The sequence below is a fragment of the Homo sapiens genome, chromosome 2, assembly GCF_000001405.40.
Source record: "Homo sapiens chromosome 2, GRCh38.p14 Primary Assembly".
Taxonomy (NCBI): Eukaryota; Metazoa; Chordata; class Mammalia; order Primates; family Hominidae; genus Homo; species Homo sapiens.
In genome coordinates, this window is record NC_000002.12 from 9,061,393 (window position 1) to 9,083,026 (window position 21,634).

The 21,634-nt window shown below is 41.8% G+C and overlaps 1 pseudogene, besides 2 other annotated features; it reads right to left on the reverse strand.

The window, feature by feature from the left end:
- Positions 328 to 622: an enhancer, noted in NCBI's record as "tiled region #12758; K562 Activating DNase matched - State 8:EnhW". NCBI's record gives its function as "activates a minimal TATA promoter and a strong SV40 promoter by Sharpr-MPRA in K562 cells {active_cell/tissue: K562}" and the evidence as "EXISTENCE:reporter gene assay evidence [ECO:0000049][PMID:27701403]".
- Positions 9,552 to 10,751: an enhancer, noted in NCBI's record as "P300/CBP strongly-dependent group 1 enhancer chr2:9211073-9212272 (GRCh37/hg19 assembly coordinates)". NCBI's record gives its function as "activates an origin of replication core promoter dependent on BRD2, BRD4, P300/CBP, MED14 and CDK7 cofactors, with strong dependence on P300/CBP, by STARR-seq in HCT116 cells {active_cell/tissue: HCT116}" and the evidence as "EXISTENCE:reporter gene assay evidence [ECO:0000049][PMID:35650434]".
- RPL30P3 (ribosomal protein L30 pseudogene 3) lies at positions 20,001 to 20,403 on the reverse strand (annotated as a pseudogene).

The following is a 21,634-nucleotide window of genomic DNA, read 5'->3' on the forward strand; positions in this document are numbered from 1 at the left end:
CCTGGCCAACATGGCGAAACCCTGTCTCTACTAAAAATACAAAAATTAGCCAGGCGTGGTGGTACATGCCTGTAATCCCAGCTACTCAGGAGGCTGAGGCAGGCGAATCACTTGAGCCCTGGTGGTGTAGGCTGCAGTGAGCCAAGATCAAGCCTTGCACTCCAGTCCAGGTGACAAGAGCAAGACTCTGTCTCAAAAAAAAAAAAAAAAAAGAAAAGAAAAGAAAGAAAGAATATAGGCTCTGAAGTCAGATTGACCTGTTTTGGAAGCTTGGCACTTCTTAATTATGCAATCTTGTACAAGTTTTAACTCTCTCACCCTCTTTCCACATCTATAAAATGGTAATAAAAGTGCTCACATAAAGTCATTTGTAAATAGAGCATGCAAAAGACTTATGCATGGCAAATGCAAAAAAAAAAAAAGGAACACTTTTTAACTATGTTGTTATTGTTATGTTTTTAGGCTTCTTAGAAACAGCAACAAGGTGACCATGTTTTCTTGGCTCCTGTGACTCAGCAATCTTGGTCTTCGATCAGTTACCAGCATTCTCCTTCTCTCTCTTTTTTTTTTTTTTTTTTTTTTTTGAGACGGAGTCTTGCTCTGTCACCCAGGCTGGAGTGCAGTGGTGAGATCTTGGCTCACTGCAACCTCTGCCTCCTCTGCCTCCCGGGTTCCAGCAATTCTCCTGCCTCAGCCTCCTGAGTAGCTGGGATTACAGGCACGCGCCACCACACCTGGCTAATTTCTGTATTTTTAGTAGAGACGGGGTTTTGCCATGTTGGTCAGGCTGTTCTCAAACTCCTGACCTCAGGTGATCCATCCGCCTCGGTCTCCCAAAGTGCTGGGATTACAGGTGTGAGCCACCGCACCCAGCCTCTCCTTCTCTTGACAGTGTTAGCCTAAGAACGTTGCTGGGGAATAATGAGTTATGCGGGTTTAGGACTTCGCCCTTGTGATAATCTCACATTGCATCCCAGTTCCAAATGGAAGAAGCTTTGAAGAGTTTAGGGGATTCAGGTTCTAAATTTCCCCATATCACATGGGTAGCTCCAGGCCATTTGCCAGAATGTCCATTTTTTTCTAAGCATGGCATTAGCTTTAGACACAGGAAATTAGCTGATAAAATCCTGAGAGGTATGAAATTAATTTCTCAATCTGGCCCTCCATCCTCTCAGAACAATAATCCTGCTTCCCTCTGTTCCATTCAGAAAGACCCCTCTCAGCCAGGCACAGTGGTTCACGCCTGTAATCTCAGCACTTTGAGAGGCTGAGGTGGGAGGATCACTTGAGCCCAGGAGTGAGTGAGACCAGCCTGGGAAGCATGGTGAGACCCCATCTTTACGAAAAAAAATTTTTTTAATTAGCCAGGCATGGTGGTGCAGGCCTATTGTCCCAGCTACTTGGGACTCAGATGGGAGAATCGCTGAAGCCTAGGAATAGGAGGCTGCAGTGGGCTATGATTGCACCACTGCACTCCAGCCTGAGCAACAAAGTGAGACCCTGTTTCAAGAAAGAAAGAAAAGGAGGAAAGAAAGAAAGAAGGAAAGAAGGAAGGAAGGCAAGAAGGAAGGAAGGAAAGAAAGAAGGAAGGAAGGAAAGAAGGAAAGAAGGAAGGAAGGAAGGAAAGGGAAGGAAGGGAAAGGGAGGGAGGGAGGGAGGGAGGAAGGAAAGAAAGAGAAAGGAAGAAGAGGAAGGAAAGAGAGAGAGAGGAAGGAAGGAAGGAAGAGAGAGAAAGAGGAAGGAAGGTAGGAGAGAGAGAGAGAGAAAGATAGAAAGGAAGAAAGAAAAAGAAAGAAAGAGAAAGAAAGAAAAAAGAAAGAGAAAGAAAGAAAAAAGAAGAAAGAAAGAAGGAAAGAAAGAGAAAGAAAGAAGAGAAAGAAAGGAAAGAGAGAGTGGAAGGAAGAAAGAGAGAGAAAGAGGAAGGAAGGAGAGAGAGAAAGAAAAAAAGAAAGAAAGAAAGAAGAAAAAAAGAAATATCAAGAAATAAACTGTCTTACATGCCTGGAATGTTTTCTTTAATAGTTTTCTTAACTGCAGTTTCTGATTTCTTTGGTACCAATATTATCACTAGACTGGATCTAATTCAGCTATCTAGAGTGGTCCATTTTACAGGCCTCCTTATCATTTGTTTGTCTAACTTAGCTGTAATTTGGGTTTTCTCGGCTGGTATATTGTCAGCCTCACTGCATCTCTGCTGCAACAGTTCTACGCTTGACAACTCCCACTGATGTCTTAGGTTTCTCTAAGAACACATAGCGCAGCACAGTCTCAGAAGTACAGAGCATTTCTCTTTAACAGTCTTTTTCTTTCTTCTCTTTTATGAAAGTAGCTGATATCAATTCATTCAAGCCTCCTTTAAGCAATTCTACTGCTGATGCACTGTAGGTGCAGGGTTATTTTTCATTGTTTGAATATTTTTATTCATGTTTTCTTTAATATGTTCAGCTCAGAGTGATGTTATTTTATTTTTGTGGCAAACATTCAACCCCTCGTTATAGTTGATGGAATATATTTATATAACATCTATCTCATTGTGCTGTGCAACAGCTGATCTTGATGTTCTATAGTTTGGTCTATTTAAATAAGACATATCTGGTTTCCTTATCCATGCAGCAAGACACTAATATTATTATAAATTTATTTTATCTAATTTAATGTTTACTTGGCATGATACCCTAAATATTTTACTTGTTCAATTTTCTAGTGACATTAAAAAATAATTTAAACACTAACATTAGACGGAGACCATTGTCATTACCATCACTTGGAATCCTTTGTCACCAAAGAACTCTGGCAGCAAAGAGCCAATGATAGAAGTGATGGGTTATTGAAAAGGGAATCCATCTTTCAGATCGATGCCATGCCTGGATGATGCTTATGGTGTCCTCCAGCACCGAGATTCTGTGTTCTCTGAGGCACACAGAAACTCTAAAATCCTATGCAATGCTGTAGTAGATTAACTCCTGCTCTTTTGCTTCTCCATCACCATCTTGGTGTCATTTGTAAGTAAATACTTGAGAGGCAGCATTACCAAATAAGGAAACATCAGTTGTTAAATTGTGGCATCCTAGGTCAAAGAAAAACCTACTCTAAGATTTTTATTACTTCAAAAGCAAACAAACAAGCCTACGTGTGCCAGGCACCCCTCATTCTCTACTTCAAATCATCTTCCTCAAGCCACTGCAGCAGAGACCAACTTTGCCCTCGTTTTGACTAGCTTCACACAGGTACCATCTGACAAAGTCTTACCTAAAGCACCCACATGTCTCACCTCCCGCTTCCTGCCTATCACTTGCTGGTGGGCGAGAACTGTGAGAATCTCTTCATTCAGGCATGCACAGCCCACAAGTGTGGGGGCTTAACACTCCACTAGACCAGTGGGGTACAGGAGCCAATAAATACATGCTTCTCCCTTTGAACCTTGTGCAAAGTCCTGAGATGCATTCCCTCAAAGGTCTCATGATCCTCACATGTCGTGATCCCATGAGACTGGGAGCTGGTTGCCTCTAGTGGTAGCTGTTGGGGAAATATAATTAAAATCAAAATCTCCCAAACCAGAAATCTTCTCTACAGTGGTAATATAGGAAGAAAACACCTTTACTAATGAATAAGAAACAAACTAGAATATCATGCGCATCACCGGCAATCCATAAGGATTGCAAAGGCAGAAATAATGCTCACCTCTTTATGTACCCAAGCATATACGACCCATCACATACATGTTCTCAAGATAAACAATAAATCATCCTCAAGTAAAAGGACTTGACAGCACCATTTGCCACATGTAGTTCATCCTCTTAAATTCATCTGGTAATTGTGGTAACCATCTAGGTTAGCTTATTAGCTTTATCCAGTGGAAAAATTAATTTCTTATATGTTTATAACATGAGACAGTTTTGAAAATTAGAGCAAGGTGCCCACCAAAATTAGGCTCCTATCCTCCCAAAGGAGATAGAGGAGATATCTCTTTTGATATTTGCATTTCAAGAAGATGGCTCTCAAGCTTCCTGGATCATAAAGCTGAAAACAAAAATGGCCAGCTGACTAAAGCCCAATCTAGTCTAATAAGGGATACATTTTGAGGAGAGGAAAATATAAATTTACAATTATAAATTTTCTAAGGAAAGGTGTCTAAGAAAAGGGGGTAGGGAAGAAAAATCCCTTTCCTCATTTTCAACAGACAGAACTAAGCCCCTTATTTTAAATTTGTATTTGTTCTTACACAGTCAACACAACAACACATCCTTGTGCTGGCTTCCCCTCCTTCCCTGTCCACCATTCTTCCCTCAACTCTGCTCCCTGGGAATCATTTAACAAAAACCCACCAACCATGAAAGCCTGCTTGGTGGGAAGTTCTAGGAAAGACCCTCTATAATGAAACACCATAATCAAAACTAAAAGGCAAAAAAAAAAATTGGATAAAATATTTCTCATGAAGGAGGGGTGAAGAATTAATATTACTAATGTATTAAAAGAGTGTACAAATAAGAAAGATACTAATCCCCAAAAGAAAATTACAAATTTAAATTACAAATCTTTTTTCCATCAGTTTTTAAACACTTTTAAAAGGTGATATTGTATTTAATCAAATCTAAGATTCATTAATGGTAAGATGCACCACATGTTATAAGCCATTATAAAAAGAAAAACGCTGCATATTAAACCAGAGCCAATAACCCATTTTTTCACTTGATGTGCATTTTCATTTCATTCACTGTATTCTTTAGCTCCAGAATTTCTGTTTAGTTCTTGTTTTATGATTTCTCTTTTTTTAAATTAAACTTCTCATTTTGTTCATGTGTTAGTTTTTCTGATTTTTTGTTGATTTGTCTATCTGTGTTCTCTTGTAGCTCACTGAGATTCCTTATAACAATTACTTCAAATTCTTTGTAGGCAATTCATAGATCTCCATTTCTTTGGGGTTGGCTACTGAAATATTATTGTCTTCCTTTGGTAGAGTCATGTTTCCTTGATTTTTTTCATGTTTCTTGAAGTCTTATATTGCTCTCTTTGCACTGAAGAAGAATCAGTTACCCTTCCAGTCTTTACTGACTGGCTTTGAGAGAGAAATGCCTTCACCAATCAGCTGAGCTAGGGATTCTAGACCTTTTCTATGAATGCATCTGCTCCACACCTCTTGTTCCCTGTACAAATGAGGCAGAAATTCTTAGGGTCATAGGCCTTGTTTTGATCCCATAAAGCCAGGCCAGGGATTGAGAGCCTCCTGTTTGTTTTCCCTAGGGCAGTGCTCCGAAATGTTCAAGTTTGTGTGCCTTCTCCCAATCCTGCAGAGTCAAGCTGGTGGTCTATATGACACACTTGCACTTCCCATCTGCAGGGGACACTCAGGGAGCCAACCTGCCGGGGGAGGGATAAGGTATGTGGAGCATTTGGGATGATGTGGGTCAGCTGAGGTGGGGGGTCCACAGGTGAAATGTTCTAAGTGGCTGGTAGTTGGCTTCCTAATAGACTCCACATAGCACTCAATAGGGTCCCTGACCTCTCTTCCCGTGTTTCTGGCCACTCAGCTGTACTGATTACCTCTGGATGAGATGAGAAAGAAGTGAGCCTCTTGGGTACCATCCTGCATGGCTGGGGGAGTTGGGTGCTCACTTGGAGAAGAGGTGATGTGGGTAAAGTGAAACTGTTTTTCTTACCCTCTTCAATGCATCTATTCTCGAATTTTTTGCTCCAATGGTATGCTGGAACATCTCTGCTGGACTCAGACTCTCACAGAGGTCCATGGGTAATTGTCAAAATTGATGCTTCTGCAGGGAGATGATGGTAGAAAGCTCCTATTCCACCATCTTGCAGACATCACCTATGTCCCAAATATAAATTAAACACTAGCTACTGCAACACTTTGATGGGATGAGTACCAGCAACATACAAGTGTATTTTTGTTTTTAAATAAACTTTTATTTTAGAGGAGTTTTATATATACTGAAAAATTATAAAGATAGTACAGAAGGTTCCCATATACCCCACACAGTTTCCCCCATTAATACCATACATTAGTAAGGTACGTTTGTCACAATTAGTGAACCAATATTGACATAATATTATTAACCAAGTCTATATTGTATTCATATTTTCTTAGCTTTTACCTAATGTCCTGTTTCTATTCCAGGATTCCACCCAGGATACCACATTATACATATTTAATTGTCCTGTGTCCTTAAGCTCCTCTTTGCTCTGAAAACTTATCAGACTTCCCTTGTTTTTAAAGTCCTTAAAAGTTTTAAGATCTGGTCAGACATTTTGTGTACTGTCACTCAAGTGAGATTTGTCTCATTTTTTTTTTACATGATTAGACTGGGGTTTTAGGTTTTGGGGAGGAAGACAATACAAGTAAAATGTCATTTTCATCACATCGTATCAAGGATACATACCATAAACATGATTTATCATGGTTGATGTTGACCTTGCTCACCTGGCTGAGGTTTTGTTTGTCAAGTTTCTCCACTATAAAATTGCCCTTTTTTCCTGTTTCCATGCTGTACTCTTTAGAAGAAAGTCACTCTATGCAGCCCACAATTACAGAGTAGGAAGTTATGCTCCACCTCTTTGAGGGCTATATATATATATGTATGTAACTATTTGGAATTCTTCTGCACAGAAGATTTGTCTCTTGTTTATTCGACCATTTACTTATATCAGTATGGATCCATGGATATTTATTTTATACATAGGGTTATAATCCAATGTTACTTTATTTATTTTCTTGCTCAAATTATTCCAGCTTTGGACATTGGGGGCTCTTTCAGTTGGCTCCTATGTCACTATGACATACCCCCATCAATGTGGGTTTTTTGCTTTTATTTTTATTACTTCCTTGTTTTCTAGCATTATCAGATACTCCAGAATCATCTTGTATATTTCTGCCCAGTTCTAGAACGAGCCCTCTCCCCTTAGAATCCCCCTAGGAATCCTTTTTTTGAAAAATGGTATTAGAAACCAATATCTGGGCACTAAGTATGCTCATTACTACTAGGGTCTTTCTCAGCCAACAGAGCAAGGAAATACATGTATGTATACTAAACTATGTAAATACATTTAGCTATAAATATTTCTGTATGTAACAATCTGTATTAATATTAAGCTAAACATAAGTTCATACTGATGTCTCCAACTCTACTCTAATACCCCAGGGATCATTCTAGCCTCCTCCCCTTACTTATCTGTAAATTCCCACTCTAACAGTGAGAAACCTGGCTCCCATTATGTCATCTACTTATTCAATCATTCAATTCCAGTATACATGGATAGAAGTATCAGAATTATTACCCTACCCCTATAGGAAACAACTTTATCAACAAGAATACAGTATTTATGTACAGTTCCCTTTGCCTTTATTCATAGATACTCCACTTGTTTCCAGAGTTACTTAGATCACCACCTGTTTCCTCCAGCCCTTCAGTGAAATTCCTTCGTATACATGTATTATGGTTATATTCTTTTTCTTACATTCTGTATTCCATCTTGAGATCCCATGATCTATTAAATGATTTTTGCATATATCAAAGTCCATTTTTTGCATTGTACAGCCCCATGAGTTTTGACAAATTCATAATATCATGTATCCATCATTACAGTATAATACAGGATATTTTCACTGCCCTAAAAACATCCTTTGTGCTTCATCTTTTTAAACTCTCCCAACCCACTTGAATCCTTGACAACCACTGATCTCTTTACCATCTCTACAGTTTCGCCTTTCCAGAATATACGTAGAGTTATATATCACTTTTTCAGACTGGTTTCTTTCATTTAGTAATATTCCTTTAAGATTCATCCACATCTTTGCATGGCATAACAATGCATTCCCTTTTATTTCAGAATAGCATTCCATTGTATAAATATACCATACTATGTTTATCTATTTAGCTGCTGAAAGCCATTGGTTGCTCCCAGTTTTAGATGAATCTGCTATAAACATTCATGTACATGTGTGGATATGAGTCTTCAAATCAATTGGGTAAATACCCAAGAGTGTGATTAGTGGATCCCAAGGTAAGACCACGTTTAGCTTCGTAAGAAGCTGCCAAAATGTTTTCCTAGGTAGCTGCAACATTTTGCATTCCCATCAGTGATGAATGAGAGTTCTTGTTGATTCACATCCTCTTCAGCAAAATTTACTCTGGCTATTTAAACCAAATGTGACGTTATTACAGGATAGCAGAAAGCTCAGAGAACTCATCTTTGGGAGCACTAAATCCTAGGCCCTGTGGCTCACTGCCAGGAATAATGCCCACTGTGCCGTAGAAACTGCTCTAGCAAAATGTGACAGACACTATTGCTCAACATGAGGTCTGCACACAGGTGTTCTTCCACCACAGCCCTTGAAATCCATATGCTGCCTCTTCCACCCCTGCCAGGCAACCCACACACACCCCTGTGCATGGTGACCTACTTATGTCACCCACCTCCTCTGAGGCTGTGTCACTGGGTGTATCTGAATCTATGTCCCAAGTTTGTAACTGTAGCCCAAAGGCATCTGTGAATGAGAGTCTTCTGGCTTCTGCCTTGCAAAGGTAGAACTCAGAAAGTGGGAAATTACCAAGTTATCCAAATATAGGAATGGTGTTCAAAGATGTTCTACATCTTTGACACCTGTCCATTATAGACTGTCACTGCAATGTATAATAGCAAAGACACTAGGATACAACCTAAATGTTCAGTAAAAGGCCATGGTCAAACAAAATGCAAACTAGCCATGAGAAAAAATATGAAACTAGAAGAAAATATGTTTTCCAAGGATTTCTACTGATTTTGAAATACAGTATACTCATGCTATGAGGTTACAGGGAATAAAGCAGTATGCAATTCCGTATATGCAGATGATCCAATTTCAAAAATAAAATTCCCTGTATGTATAGAATGAAGCCTGAAGAATATAACACGAAATACTGATGATGGGTTCCACTGAGTTGATTTTACTTTTCTTCTTACTCATTTTTTAATTTTCAAGTTTTCCACAGTGTATTAATTAAAAAAAAAAAAAGCATAACGTGGCTAGGTATGGTGGCTCACACTTGTGGTCCCAGCACTTTGAGAGGCCAAGGCAGGCAGATCACTTAAGGCAAGGAGTTCGAGACCATCCTGGCCAACATAGCAAAACTCTGTCTGTACTAAAAATACAAAGAATTAGCTGGGCATGGTGGTGCACACCTGTAATCCCAGCTACTCAGGAGGCTGAGGCACAAGAATCACTTGAACATGGGAGGCAGAGGTTGCATTGAGCCAAATTGGGCCACTGCACTTCAGCCTGGGTGACAGAGCGAGATTGCCTCAAAAAAAAAAAAAAAAGTGTTATCCTCCCTCTACCAAAAAGATTTTCATATACAAAAGCTTTCATAGTCCTAAAGAAGATGCCATCCCTCACTGAAATATAATTTACTTAAAGGTTCTCATGGATTTTAAAATAAAATCAATTATAACAGATTCTTTAAAGGAAGAAGTTGTTTTAGCATTCTTTATCAGCATGTATAATTGATTTGAATTTCTTCACTATAGAAAGTTTGACTCAAGCTCTTACTTGCTAGGTATAAGATATGGGTAAGCTGCTGTAATAAAAAGATTCTAAAACACAGTGGCTTTAACAACTTAAAAGTGTATTTATTTCTCCAGTGATAGTCCAGAGGTGAGCAGTCCAAGATTAGCAAGGTGGCTCTGCAATGTGAGGTTATTCCATGACTTGGGTTCCATTCCTCCGGTGTCTCTGCCACCTCCTAGGGTGAGGTCCTCATGGCACGGTTGAAGCTGACTCACCTCCATTCATGTTCATGCTCTGGCCTATTGGAGATGAGGAGAGAGAAACTTCAGGTCATTTCACTTTGTCTCAGAGAGGATGACTCAGAGGCCATTCAGAGCACTCCTGTTCACGTCCTGTCTGCTCAGGCTTAGTCACGTGGCCACACCTAGCTGTAAGAAGGCTTGGAATTGTAGGGTCTAGTTGGGTGGCCATGTGCCCTGCTAACACTCAGAGGTTCTATCCTTACATGCAAGAAAAGGAGAATGGGCCGGTGCAGAGGAGCACCCCTGCAGTCCCAGCTACTCAGGAGGCTGACGTGGGAGGCTCACTTGAGCCCAGGAGTTTGAAATCAAAATAGTAAGACGCTGTGTCAGAAAAAAAAAAAAAGAAAAGAAAAGAAAGAAAGAGACGGAAGGAAGGAAGGAAGGAAGGAAGGAAGGAAGGAAGGAAGGAAGGAAGGAAGGAAAGAAGGAGGGAGGGAGGGAGGGAGGGAGGAAAGTGTGAGCCACCGCGCCTGGCCAGTCGATTTCCACTCTTAACTGGATTCAAATCATCGTGGGAATTTGAACTCTGCACGTGTTAGGGCTGCACCCCCTGAGATTCTGATTCAGTTGATCAAGGGAGGTCCTCTTTCCTAAACACCCTACTTCCTGCTTGCCCTTCCCAGCCTCAAAGAATCCACTTCACAAAACCATTCCCTTCCTAAATCCTTAATCTCCAGACTCTAAGTCCTTCCTTTCTTGGACATACAGCAAATCCCCTTCAGGGCATAGACCTTTTAAACACAAAACTCTGAATGAATCATTTCTAGGGTGTCCAACTCAGTCCTGGAATATCCTCTTCTATTCTTTCAAACAGTAAAGCAAACAAGTGGCTCTCCCTCCCAGGGAAAGGAGAGCTCAGGCTTCCAGAGGATGAGAGAAAGTATTTCATTTCTTCCAGATGGGTCGATAGCAACAAAAACAAATTGAAGATAAATATCAATAGATCTCCATCCTACATCAAATTACAAATACATCTCTATGCTACCAATATGTTATGGGCTGAATCGCCCCCCTATCCCCCCACCGCCCACCATTCATGTGTTGAAGTCCAGACCCCTAGTACCTGACTGTGACCTTATTTGGAGATAGGGTCTTCACATAAGTAATGAAGTTCAAATAAAGTCATTCGGGTGGGCTTGATCCAATATGCCAGGTGTTATTTTAAGAAGGGGAGATTAGGACACAGACCCAGAGAAACCCCCACGTGAAGACACAGGGAGAAAGCCACCTACAAGCTCAGGAGAGAGGCCTCGGAGGAAGCCAACCCTGTGGATACCCTGATCTCAGACTCAGCCTCTAGATGGTGACAGAATAGATTTCTTCTGTGGATCCACCATATGGTATATATACATATACTGTAGGCACCCAGTCTATGGTACTTGTTTATAGTAGCCTTAGCAAACTAATACAATATGACTTCTGAGCATAAAACAGACATTGTAGTGGGAGGCTTATAAATATTTGCTGCTTTATTGTTATTGATTATTAACAGAGGGATTTAGCTGAAGGACTAGGGGCAATGAATCTGGATTTCCTGCTAAAACTGGTCCAGGCAAGCCGAAGACAAGGTCAAGAACAAAGCCTCATTGAAAACAGGGCTCAGAGGAGCTTGACTAAAATGTGGCCAAGGAGAGCATCTTTGTCACCCAGACTCTCTGTGATAATTAATCATGACAAGCAGCTGTTGTGAAATCTTTATCACTCAATTTATTTCAATTCCTCTGCAAATAATCTTAAAACAGTCTCATTTTCCAAGAGGGAAAAAAGATGGCAGTCCAATATTTCAGGCTAATGACCTGCACGCTCTACCAAGAAAACAGGAAAACATGCCTGGAGTTGGCTGGTGCCCAGGTCAAGCGGATGGCACAGCCCAAGCAGCGGTGGCCTTGGACCTGACTGGGCTGGACAATTGTCCATGTTCAGAAGTTCTTCAGGCCATTTTGGACAACGCAGAGGAGTTAGACAACATGGGAACCCCAAGGCTGACCTTGGCCAAGAAAAGCCCAAAGATTATTTCAATCCAGACGGTTGCCATATCTGTTCCTTTTCTGTCTGTCACCTCCTTTTAGTCGCAGCAGCTGTGGGACATTTCTCTGGGAAGGCAGCAGCACCCTGTTTCTCTGGAACATGGATTTGTGTGAGGTGAGAATGCTGTGTTCACAGCAAATGTGGCAAAAACAGGGGTGGTGTGTTTTTTCCCCAAAGACTTTACTGTTTCTCAGAAAGCTATTTATGAAAAAGGCTTAAAACCTAATAGGAATGGGATGGGGTTATAGAAACACTTCCTTTGCACCTATACATATCCCTAGGACTAAAGCTAAGCTGTGAGAAAAACAAATAATAATACACATGGAATGAATGTTAAGAATCCCCACGTTCCATGATTTCTACTCTTTATTTTTTTCATTTTTTTTTTAGTCGGAGTTTTGCTCATTGCGCAGGCTGGAGTGTGATGGTGCGATCTTGGCTCACCACAGCCTCCACCTCCTGGGTTCAAGCAATTCTCCTGCCTCAGCCTCCAGAGTAGCTGGGATGACAGGTGCCCACCACCATGCACAGCTAATTTTTGTATTTTTAGTAGAGACGGGGTTTCATCATATTGGCCAGGCTGGCCTCAAACTCCTGACCTCAGGTGATCTGCTTGCCTCGGCCTCCCAAAGTGCTGGGATTACAGGTGTGAGCCACCACGCCCAGCCAGTTGATTTCTACTCTTAACTGAATTCGAATCACCTGGGGAATCTGAACTCTGCACCTGTTAGGGCTGCACCTCCTGAGATTCTGATTTAGTTGAACAAGGGAGGGGCACTCTGAGCTTTTAAAAGAAAACACATATTAAACCTCCCCCCAGGTGAGTTTAGTGTCCAACTAGATTCAAAATACTGATCTGTTTTAACTTCTAAGCTTTGTGGATGAGGAAACTGAGGCCCAGGGAAGAGGAGTAACTTGTGAAAGTTCACAAAGCTAGTTAGTGGCAAAGCCAAAAATAAAACTGGCATTCTACAGCACTGCAGACCTTAAGAGGTTTATTAACTTCACCTGGTAACCTCAGTCGGCACACCTGTTTACTTACGGTGTTAGGAAATAAGCAACAAAATCTAGACACTTTTAACTAGTGTTCATCTGACATTTGGAGTGACATTTGAATGGGGACTGATTTCACAGGTGGTCAGTTCTTTAATGAATATTTCCTCATGTAACAAAAAAAGGCTTCCTGGTATAGTCTTTAAAAAATGGTGGCACATGGGAACAATAGACACCATGTGTTACTAGAGAGGAAGGTGGGGGAAGCATGGGTTTAAAAACTACCTATTGGGTACAATGCATCCTGCCTGGGTGCAATATATCCAGGTAACAAGCCTGCACAGGTACCCCATGTCTAAAATAAAAGCTGAAATTGTAAAAATAATTAATTAAAAACAACAAAAACTGTGGTGACGGCTGGGCACAGTGGTTCACGCCTATAATCCCAGCCCCTTGGGAGGCCAAGGCAGGTGGATCACCTGAGGTCAGGAGTTTGAGACCAGCCTGACCAACCTGTTGAAACCCTGTCTCTACTAAAAATACAAAAATTACCTGGGCATGGTGGCAGTCTACTCCAGAGGCTGAGGCAGGAGAATCGCTTGAACCCGGGAGGCAGGGGTTGAAGTGAGCCAAGATCGTGCCATTACACTCTAGCCTGGGCGACAAGAGTAAAACTCTATCTCAAAAACAAACAAACCAACTAACAAACAAAAAACTGTGGTGACTTGAATAATGATTGCTCAGATAATGAGAATACCCTACACCAGGTGATATGTTGTCCTTGTGGATTCATATGGAAATGGACACCTGCCATGTTTGCAGGCAGAAAAACAGGCTTCGAATTCCACCCACACCTGATGGCTATTCTCTGCCTGGAACGCCTCTCTTACCCTCCCATGGTAACAGACTCACACCCCTGATTACAGGGGTTGGCACATCACGAGACTGGATCAGTCATTATACCCCATCCTTTGAAGTTGGTAATGAGGTCATCCTTCTCCCAAGAGTGAAAGCTACATTTCTACACGAGTTGTTTCACAGCTAGCCTGGTGTCCAGCAGTTGTCCATGCAGACCGGGTTCACCCCTAGCTGCCTCAAAACCTGAGCTGGCGGTCACAACTGAAAGGGTTATTTAGTAATATCCCCTCTGCCTTAAGGACTCAGTATCTGTGGGTGAAATCTTCTTACTCAGGTTTATCTACTGCCTGGCAGCCATAGCAGTTGTAGCTATTTGACATCTTGATGGCTGTCTCTGTCCTGTGCTTTTATCAAAAGAAGCTGAGCAGTGGCCTTCCCAAGGAAAAGGAGACAGGGATGTGTTTTGGGGATAGAAACTAGAGCCTCGAATACTCCAGCTCCTTTTGACTGTATGTTGAAGGGACAGAGCAAAGACATTTTGGCCCTGCTGGGGCCCAGAAAAATGACACTCTAAGTAAAGGCCTAAGAAGCAGCCTCAGACACAAAGTCTCTCCCTGACCTTCTCCTGCCCTCCTGTCCCTCGTCCCTGATTCTGTCCTGAGGCAAGCAATAGGAACCAGAATCCCTCTTCCCCAGGGTGGGTCATAAAAACCAAAACCCCTTTCCCCCAACGCCAGCCATAAAGTCCAAAACTATGACTTGAATCCCTAACCCCTTTGCCTTTCTGTGTGATACTGGCCATAAAGAAATTAAGACCCTCATCCCAGAAGGGTCCTTCCCCATACCAGAGAGGAAGGAATTCTGCACAGAGGGGCCACGGAGAATCTGAACAGACAGGCCTCGCTGGGTCTCCCCCGTCAGTCTATTAGCATTAGACCATAGCCTTCCTGTCCAATCCCCTTTCTACACGCCTGTCTGTACTTCATTGAACTAAAGCATAAAAATAGATCATTTTCCCTGTATCTTTTGGTCACTCATTCTGAAGGCTCACACGTCTTGTAAAACTATGATCAAATAAACTTGCGCTTTTCTCTTGTTAACCTGTCTTTGGTATTAGTATGTTGGGTGTGGCCCTTATAAATGGGGAGGAAAGAAATTGTCCCTTTCTGCCCCTACAGCCCCATCCCTCAGTTCAGAATGATCTGAATCCTTTAGGCTACAGGTGCTCTGCTGCCCAAAAGGGATTTGATAGTGTTCAGTACAATTTATAGGAGGCTCTAGGATAGAACTGAGCTCCTGCACTAGATTCAACAGACCAAACCAAACTGGGGTGACTCACGCTGGAGTTTCCAACTGAAACTAAGTTGTTTATCTGACCTTCCAAAAAATCAGGAGACAGAGAAAGATAATAGCCAAATCCCCAAACAGGCCAGTTTGAATCAACATGGTAAAGAAGTTCCCTCTGCTTTACAAGGAAGAGTAACTTTGCAATTACCAATCTGCTTTTTGTTTTCTGTTTCTGTTTTCTTAGGCCTTTTCTGTCTATAAAGCCAATCTCCTGTGCTTGGCTCATCGAAACACTCTATCTTATAGAATGAGGTGTTGCCCCAATTGTAGAATTGCAAATAAATGCCAGATCTTAAAAAAGATTTTTAAGACAACTGGGTGTGTTGGCTCATGCCTATAATCCCAGCACTTTGGTTAGTTAAGGCAGGCAGATCACTTGAGCCTAGGAGTTCAAGACCAGCCCGGACAACATGACAAAACCTCATCTCTAAAAAAACTAAAAAAATAAAAAATAAAAAAAGTATCCAGGTGTGCTGGCACACACACATAGTCCCAGCTACTCGGGACGCCGAGGTGGGAGGATCACTTGAGCCCAGGAGGTCAAGACTGCGGTGAGCCATGATTGCGCCATTCCACTTCAGCCTGGGCAACAGAGGGATACCCTGTCTCAATCAAAAATATCTATATATTTTAAACTGAATTTGTTCTAATTTTGTCTTTTGACAACAGGGAAATGATTTCTACTGACATACAGGAATGGACCTCCAGCCTGAGGTCTAGTTCTGCTCAGTGGTATGATATGATAAGTTGTGCAGAGAATTGACTTTTGATTAATTCAGCCACAGTAAACAGGCTGTATGTGCTGGGTGTGTTTTGTACCAATCCCTTGCATCTGGTGAGGAGGGAGGCATGTAAACAGTCCCCAAAGTCAGGTGCACGTGGGCACAGGGGGATGAGAATTTAAATCATGGCTTCCCCACGTGAATGGCAAAGACAAGCTACTTTTCCCCGGTGGAGTCCTCAGGCTGGGCAGTGATATTATTAGCTGGTTAGCCCTTGGGGTTCTGGGAATCTGTTTAGCTTCTGCCTTATATCATAACCTCTATGCAATTTTTTACCCTTTGCCATTAAATTAAGTTTATAACCTCTTATTACTGTGTCCATCAATCACATTGCTGTCCCTTTGTGATAACATGTCTGGAGGTTTAGACGACAGTGGGGAAAAGACTGAACTGTTTCAGGCTATTGGATCTCAGGTTAGGGATTTTGCAGGAGAATTTTTCCTTCATCCTGGCTGTTTAGGCCACATGCTGTAGACAATGTCTGTAGGCAGCCCATTTGAAATTCACAAGCACACAAGGAATGAGCCTCTTCACTCTCTTTTCCTTTCAGAAAGGCAGATGTTTACTGAATAAGCCAGCTGGCTCCACCAACCCTCACTCTACTAACCTTGATGGCACCACAACATGAAATTCACAGAACAAGCCAGTTCACGTGACCAGCAAGTTCAGAAGATGGCAGGACGGGTCTGACATGAAGCATAGTTACACATTCACCTCATTCCAGTGCTGCTTTCAAAAGTTCTCAGACAGGAGGCTTTCCAAGGGTTGTGAGTCCAATTTTCCACTTTGACACATTAAAAATTATCATGAGTGATACTGAAAATTATTCCACAGATAGTTTTGGGTTGTATGCCAAAGTAATTTCCTATGCATTAAACAAAATTTCTCTTACAGCATTGAAAGGCCTATATTTTTCCTGTGGAAAAAAAAAGACATAAATTATTCCTCCCAGTCCTGGCTGTATGGAACTTGTACTACCGACAGTGCGACCCCAGTTAACTCGATTCACGAAAAGAGCACCATTTCATTTTTACCAGCATATTTCAGAAAATGGTGGTAAAAATGAAATGGTGCTGTTTTCATGAAGCCTAGAGTAATTCAAAAGCTATTAGGTCCTAAACACCGAAGTTGCATTCTATAAACAGAGACATTAAAAGCCTAAATAAATGGCCATCTTGGGAGGATGTATGCCCTAATAGGCTAGGAATGTGTATAAGCTTCCCAGATAATTCAGCCACTATTATTAGGACATAAAAAAGCGTGGAGATAAAATAGCCAGTCTTCATAAAGGCTCACACCTTGAGAGAGGCATATGTTGTGCTTCAGCTGATCAGTGGGGGTTTGAGAAGCACGCGAAAGTGGGTGGTGCTTACACGTTACTGAATTGCTGGTAGAATATTGCTGGGACCCAGCCTGGGCAACATAGCAAGACCCATCTCTACCAAAAACACAAAAAATGATCTGGGCATGGTGGTGTGCACCTGTGGTCCCAGCTACTCGGAAGGATCGGGAGGCGGGAGGATCACCTGGGGTTGGGAGGTTGAGGCTGCAGTGAGCCAAGAGCACACCACTACACTCCAGCCTGGGTAACAGGGCGAGACCCTGTCTCAAAAAAAAAAAAAGAATATTGCTGTGGTTTATCTCCTCCCCATCAAGCCCACTTTTAAGAGCAAATAATTTAACTTGCTAAGAATTAAGGCAAGGTGGCCGGGCGCGGTAGCTCATGCCTGTAATCCCAGCACTTTGGGAGGCCGAGGCAGGCAGATCACGAGGTCAAGAGATCAAGACCATCCTGGCAAACATGGCAAAACCCCGTCTCTACTAAAAATACGAAAATTAGCTGGACGTGGTGGTGGGCGCCTGTATTCCCAGCTACTCAGGAGACTGAGGCAGAAGAATCACTTGAACCCAGGAGACAGAGGTTGCAGTGGGCCAAGATCGTGCCACTATACTCCAGCCTGGCGACAGAGTGAGACTCCATCTCTCCATCTCAAAAAAAAAAAAAAGAAAGAAATAAGGCAAATAATATGAATATATGAAACACATAAATGAATATAGAGTTCAGAAGGGAATTGAGGCTGGGCAAGGTGGCTCTTGGGAGCTCCCAACACTTTGGGAGGCCGAAGCAGGTGGATCACTTGAGGTCGGGACTTTGAGACCAGCCTGGGCAACATGGTGAAACCCTGTCTCTACTAAAAATACAAAAATTAGCCAGGCGTGGTGGTGTGTGCCTGTAGTTCCAGCTACTCAGGAGGCTGAGGCAGGAGAATTGCTTGAACTTGGGAGGCGGAGGTTGCAGTGAGCTGAGATCGTGCCACTGCACTCTAGCCTGGGCAACAAAGTGAGACTCTGTCTCAAAACAAACAAACAAACAAAACCAGGAGAACTTGATAAAAGGAAGTGGTGAAACTCAGGCAAATTAAAAAATGGAGGCTTGCGGAGTCAGAAACGTCAGCAAGTGAATGAGCACCAGGCCCACTTAAAGCAACTCCCATGGGAAGGGAATTCTTGGAAGAGCCAAAAAGCACTATACAAATTCAGTTAAATTTAGAAAGGACTTTTGGAAATTAAAATGAAAGGATTTTCAAATTTAGAAAATCCATCATCAAGCTACAAAGAAAATATATGTTGCGCCCTGGATCATGGTCTGGTTGACCAGGCAGATGTAAAGTCTACTCTAAATACAGAGCAGAGGCCAGGCATGGTGGCTCACGCCTATAATCCCAGCACTTTTGGGGGCTGAGGCAGGTGGATGGCTCAACCACCAGTTGAGTCTAGCTAAGTCACTTCCACTCCCTGCACCTCCTATTCTTCACCTGCAGAATGAGCTTGCTGGATTCTAACACCCAACTGCTGCTCTCACACTCTAGAATTCTTAGACTCCCAGTTGTCTTTGAGAGATTCCACACTGCCAAGAAAATTATTGCAACTATATGAAACACTGGCTTATCATGACCAGTGTCAGGGAGTCCTGATGTTCACCTGGCCCTGCTCTTCTGCAGTTACCAAGCTATAAAAAGTTAAAGACTGAATGTGTAGATATACTAGGAAGCAGACCTGTTCTGTGCTTCTCCAGAAATCAGAATTAAGGTGAATGAGTGGAGGCTAGGTGTGGTGGCACACGCCTGTAATCTTAGCACTTTGGGAGGCCGAGGCGGTAGGATCGCTTGAGCCCAGGAGTTCAAGACCAGCCTGGGCAACATGGCAAAACCCCGTCTCTACAAAAATACAAAAATTAGCCAGGTGTGGTGATCCCTGCTTGTGGTCCTAAATACTCAGGAGGCTGAGGTGGGAGGATTGCTTGAGCCTGGGAGGTGGAAGTTGCAGCGAGCAGAGATCATGCCACTGCTCTCCAGCCTGGGAGACAGAGGGAGACCCTGTCTAAAAACAATAAAAGATGAATGAATGGAAATTATCGGAAAGCAGACTTCAACTCATCATGAGAAAATTTCCTTTGAACACTACTGAAAATATCACCAATTATGTGCTGCATATTACTTTGGACCTATTACTATGCTAATCACATTTATACATATTTATTCCTCATAACCAACCAATAAATCAGATACTATCCCTATTTTAATATATCAGGAGATGGAGGCTCAGAGACGTCAATTTACTTGCCCAAAACTACGTAGCTAATAAGTGGCAAAACTAGAATTCAATAATGCTTACAAACTTTAAAAATCTTTGTTCTAGACCACTATGCTATATTGCCTCTATAAAGCCACCCCAAAATATCCAGGATTGATTGGGATTCTTAAATCTGCACATTGATGTTGTTCATTGGCAGTAGAAAATTTCAGCCAATACTCCTTTTTAAAAATGTTTTAAAAACAAGCTCTGGCAAGTTTTATTAAAGAAAAATTTTGAGGCCGGGCGCGATGGCTCAAACCTGTAATCCCAGCACTTTAGGAGGCCGAGGCGGGTGGATCAAGAGGTCAGGAGATCGAGACCATCCTGGCTAACACGACGAAACCCCGTCTCTACTAAAAATACAAAAAATTAGCTGGGCATGGTGGTGGGCGCCTGTAGTCCCAGCTACTCAGGAGGCTGAGGCAGGAGAATGGTGTGAACCCGGGAGACGGAGCTTGCAGTGAGCCGAGATCGCGCCACTGCACTCCAGCCTGGGTGACAGAGCGAGACTCTGTCTTAAAAAAAAAAAAAGAAAAGAAAAAAGAAAAATTTTGCATAGTATACTTCCCACTAGTCTATTCTGGCATGCTTCTAATATGAGAATCACCTGGATCAATGAGAGCCAGTGAGCATACTCTGTAGTATTTTCCACATGCTGTGCCCAATTCAATATTATTGTCACTGTAGTGATGGACACCAGTCCGGCCAACATTTCATAGTACTCTATTTTGGATTTCCTCAAAGCTGGGCAGTTGTTAGAGAGGATGACCAATTTCACTTTGCCTTGTCTGATCAACTTCAGAGTCTGCTTGTACCCCAGCATGTACTTTCTACTTTTCATAACTAGAGTTGATCAACTCCAGTGACTTTTTCATCTTCTTTGTGGCTACCATCTTCCTGCCTAGGTGTGGGATGGCCCCCAACCAAGAGCAGTCACCAAGACGGTGGAAAGTGAGAAAGGCACCCATACCTCTTGAGATACTCTCTTTTTCCATCCACTCTTTTCCTTCTTGACTCTGATTAAATTTAGACTTTATCATGTTAGCCTCTCTAACTTACTGTATATCTTTTTGTCTCTCTTTGCTGCATCCTAGATATCTTCTGATTTAACTTCCAGGTCATCAATTCTCTCTTCAGCTGTGTTGAATTGGCTATTGAACCCATCCACTGAGTTTTAAATGTTGGCTATTGTCTTTTTAATCTCTAGAAGTACTATTTAGTTATTTTTGAAATCTAACAGTAGTTTCATCTTTTCCGAGATATCTTTAAGCTAATCTTTACTTTTTTAAACATAATAAATGTATTAGTTTCCTATTACTCCTATAACAAGTTACTACAAACTTAGTGGTTTAAAACAACACAAATTTATTATCTTAAAGTTCTAGAGGTCAGGATTTTGAAATCAGTTTCACTGGGCTAAAATCAAGGTATTGAAAGACCTTGCTTTCTTCTGGAGGATCTAGGGGAGAATCCATTTCCTTTCCTTTTGTAGCTTCCTGAAGCCATGTACATGCCTAGGCTTGTGAGCCCTTCCCCCATTTTCAAAGTCAGAAGTGTAAGATCTTATCTCCTCTCTGACTTTTGCTTACATACTTACATTTTTTTCTCTCACATCTTCTTGCCTTTCTCTTATAGAACACCTGTGATTACAATGAGCCTACTTGGATAATCCAGAATAATCTCTCCAATCTCAAAATCATTCATTTTATCATATCCACAAAGTTCCTTTTACTATATAAAGTAACATTTTCACAGGTTCCAGAGACTAGGATGTGGACATCTTTGAGGAGCCATGATTCAACCCACCACAGTAAGCACAGTTATTTTATAGTCCATGTCCAATAATTTCAAGTGTTCCCAGATTTGTTTTTGTTGTCTGTTTTTCAGATGGTTCCCACACGTGTTGCTTGCTTCAGTATGTGCTGGGTTAAAAAAAAATGGTGCCCAATAATAATTTACCTAACATTTTTAGTTGTTTTTATTAGGAGTGTTTGGGCTGAAAAATAGCCCACTATAAAGAGAAATTAAAATTCAAGTCTTCCAACAATAATGATTGATGTATTGCCCACTGACAGTATGGCAATCACTGTCTTGATGGCATAATGTACATTCTATATAGGAAAAAGCCATGGAAGGGACTGCAGTAGGAAGTTCCCAAACCCAGGACAATTCAAGTAGGGATAATGAGAGCT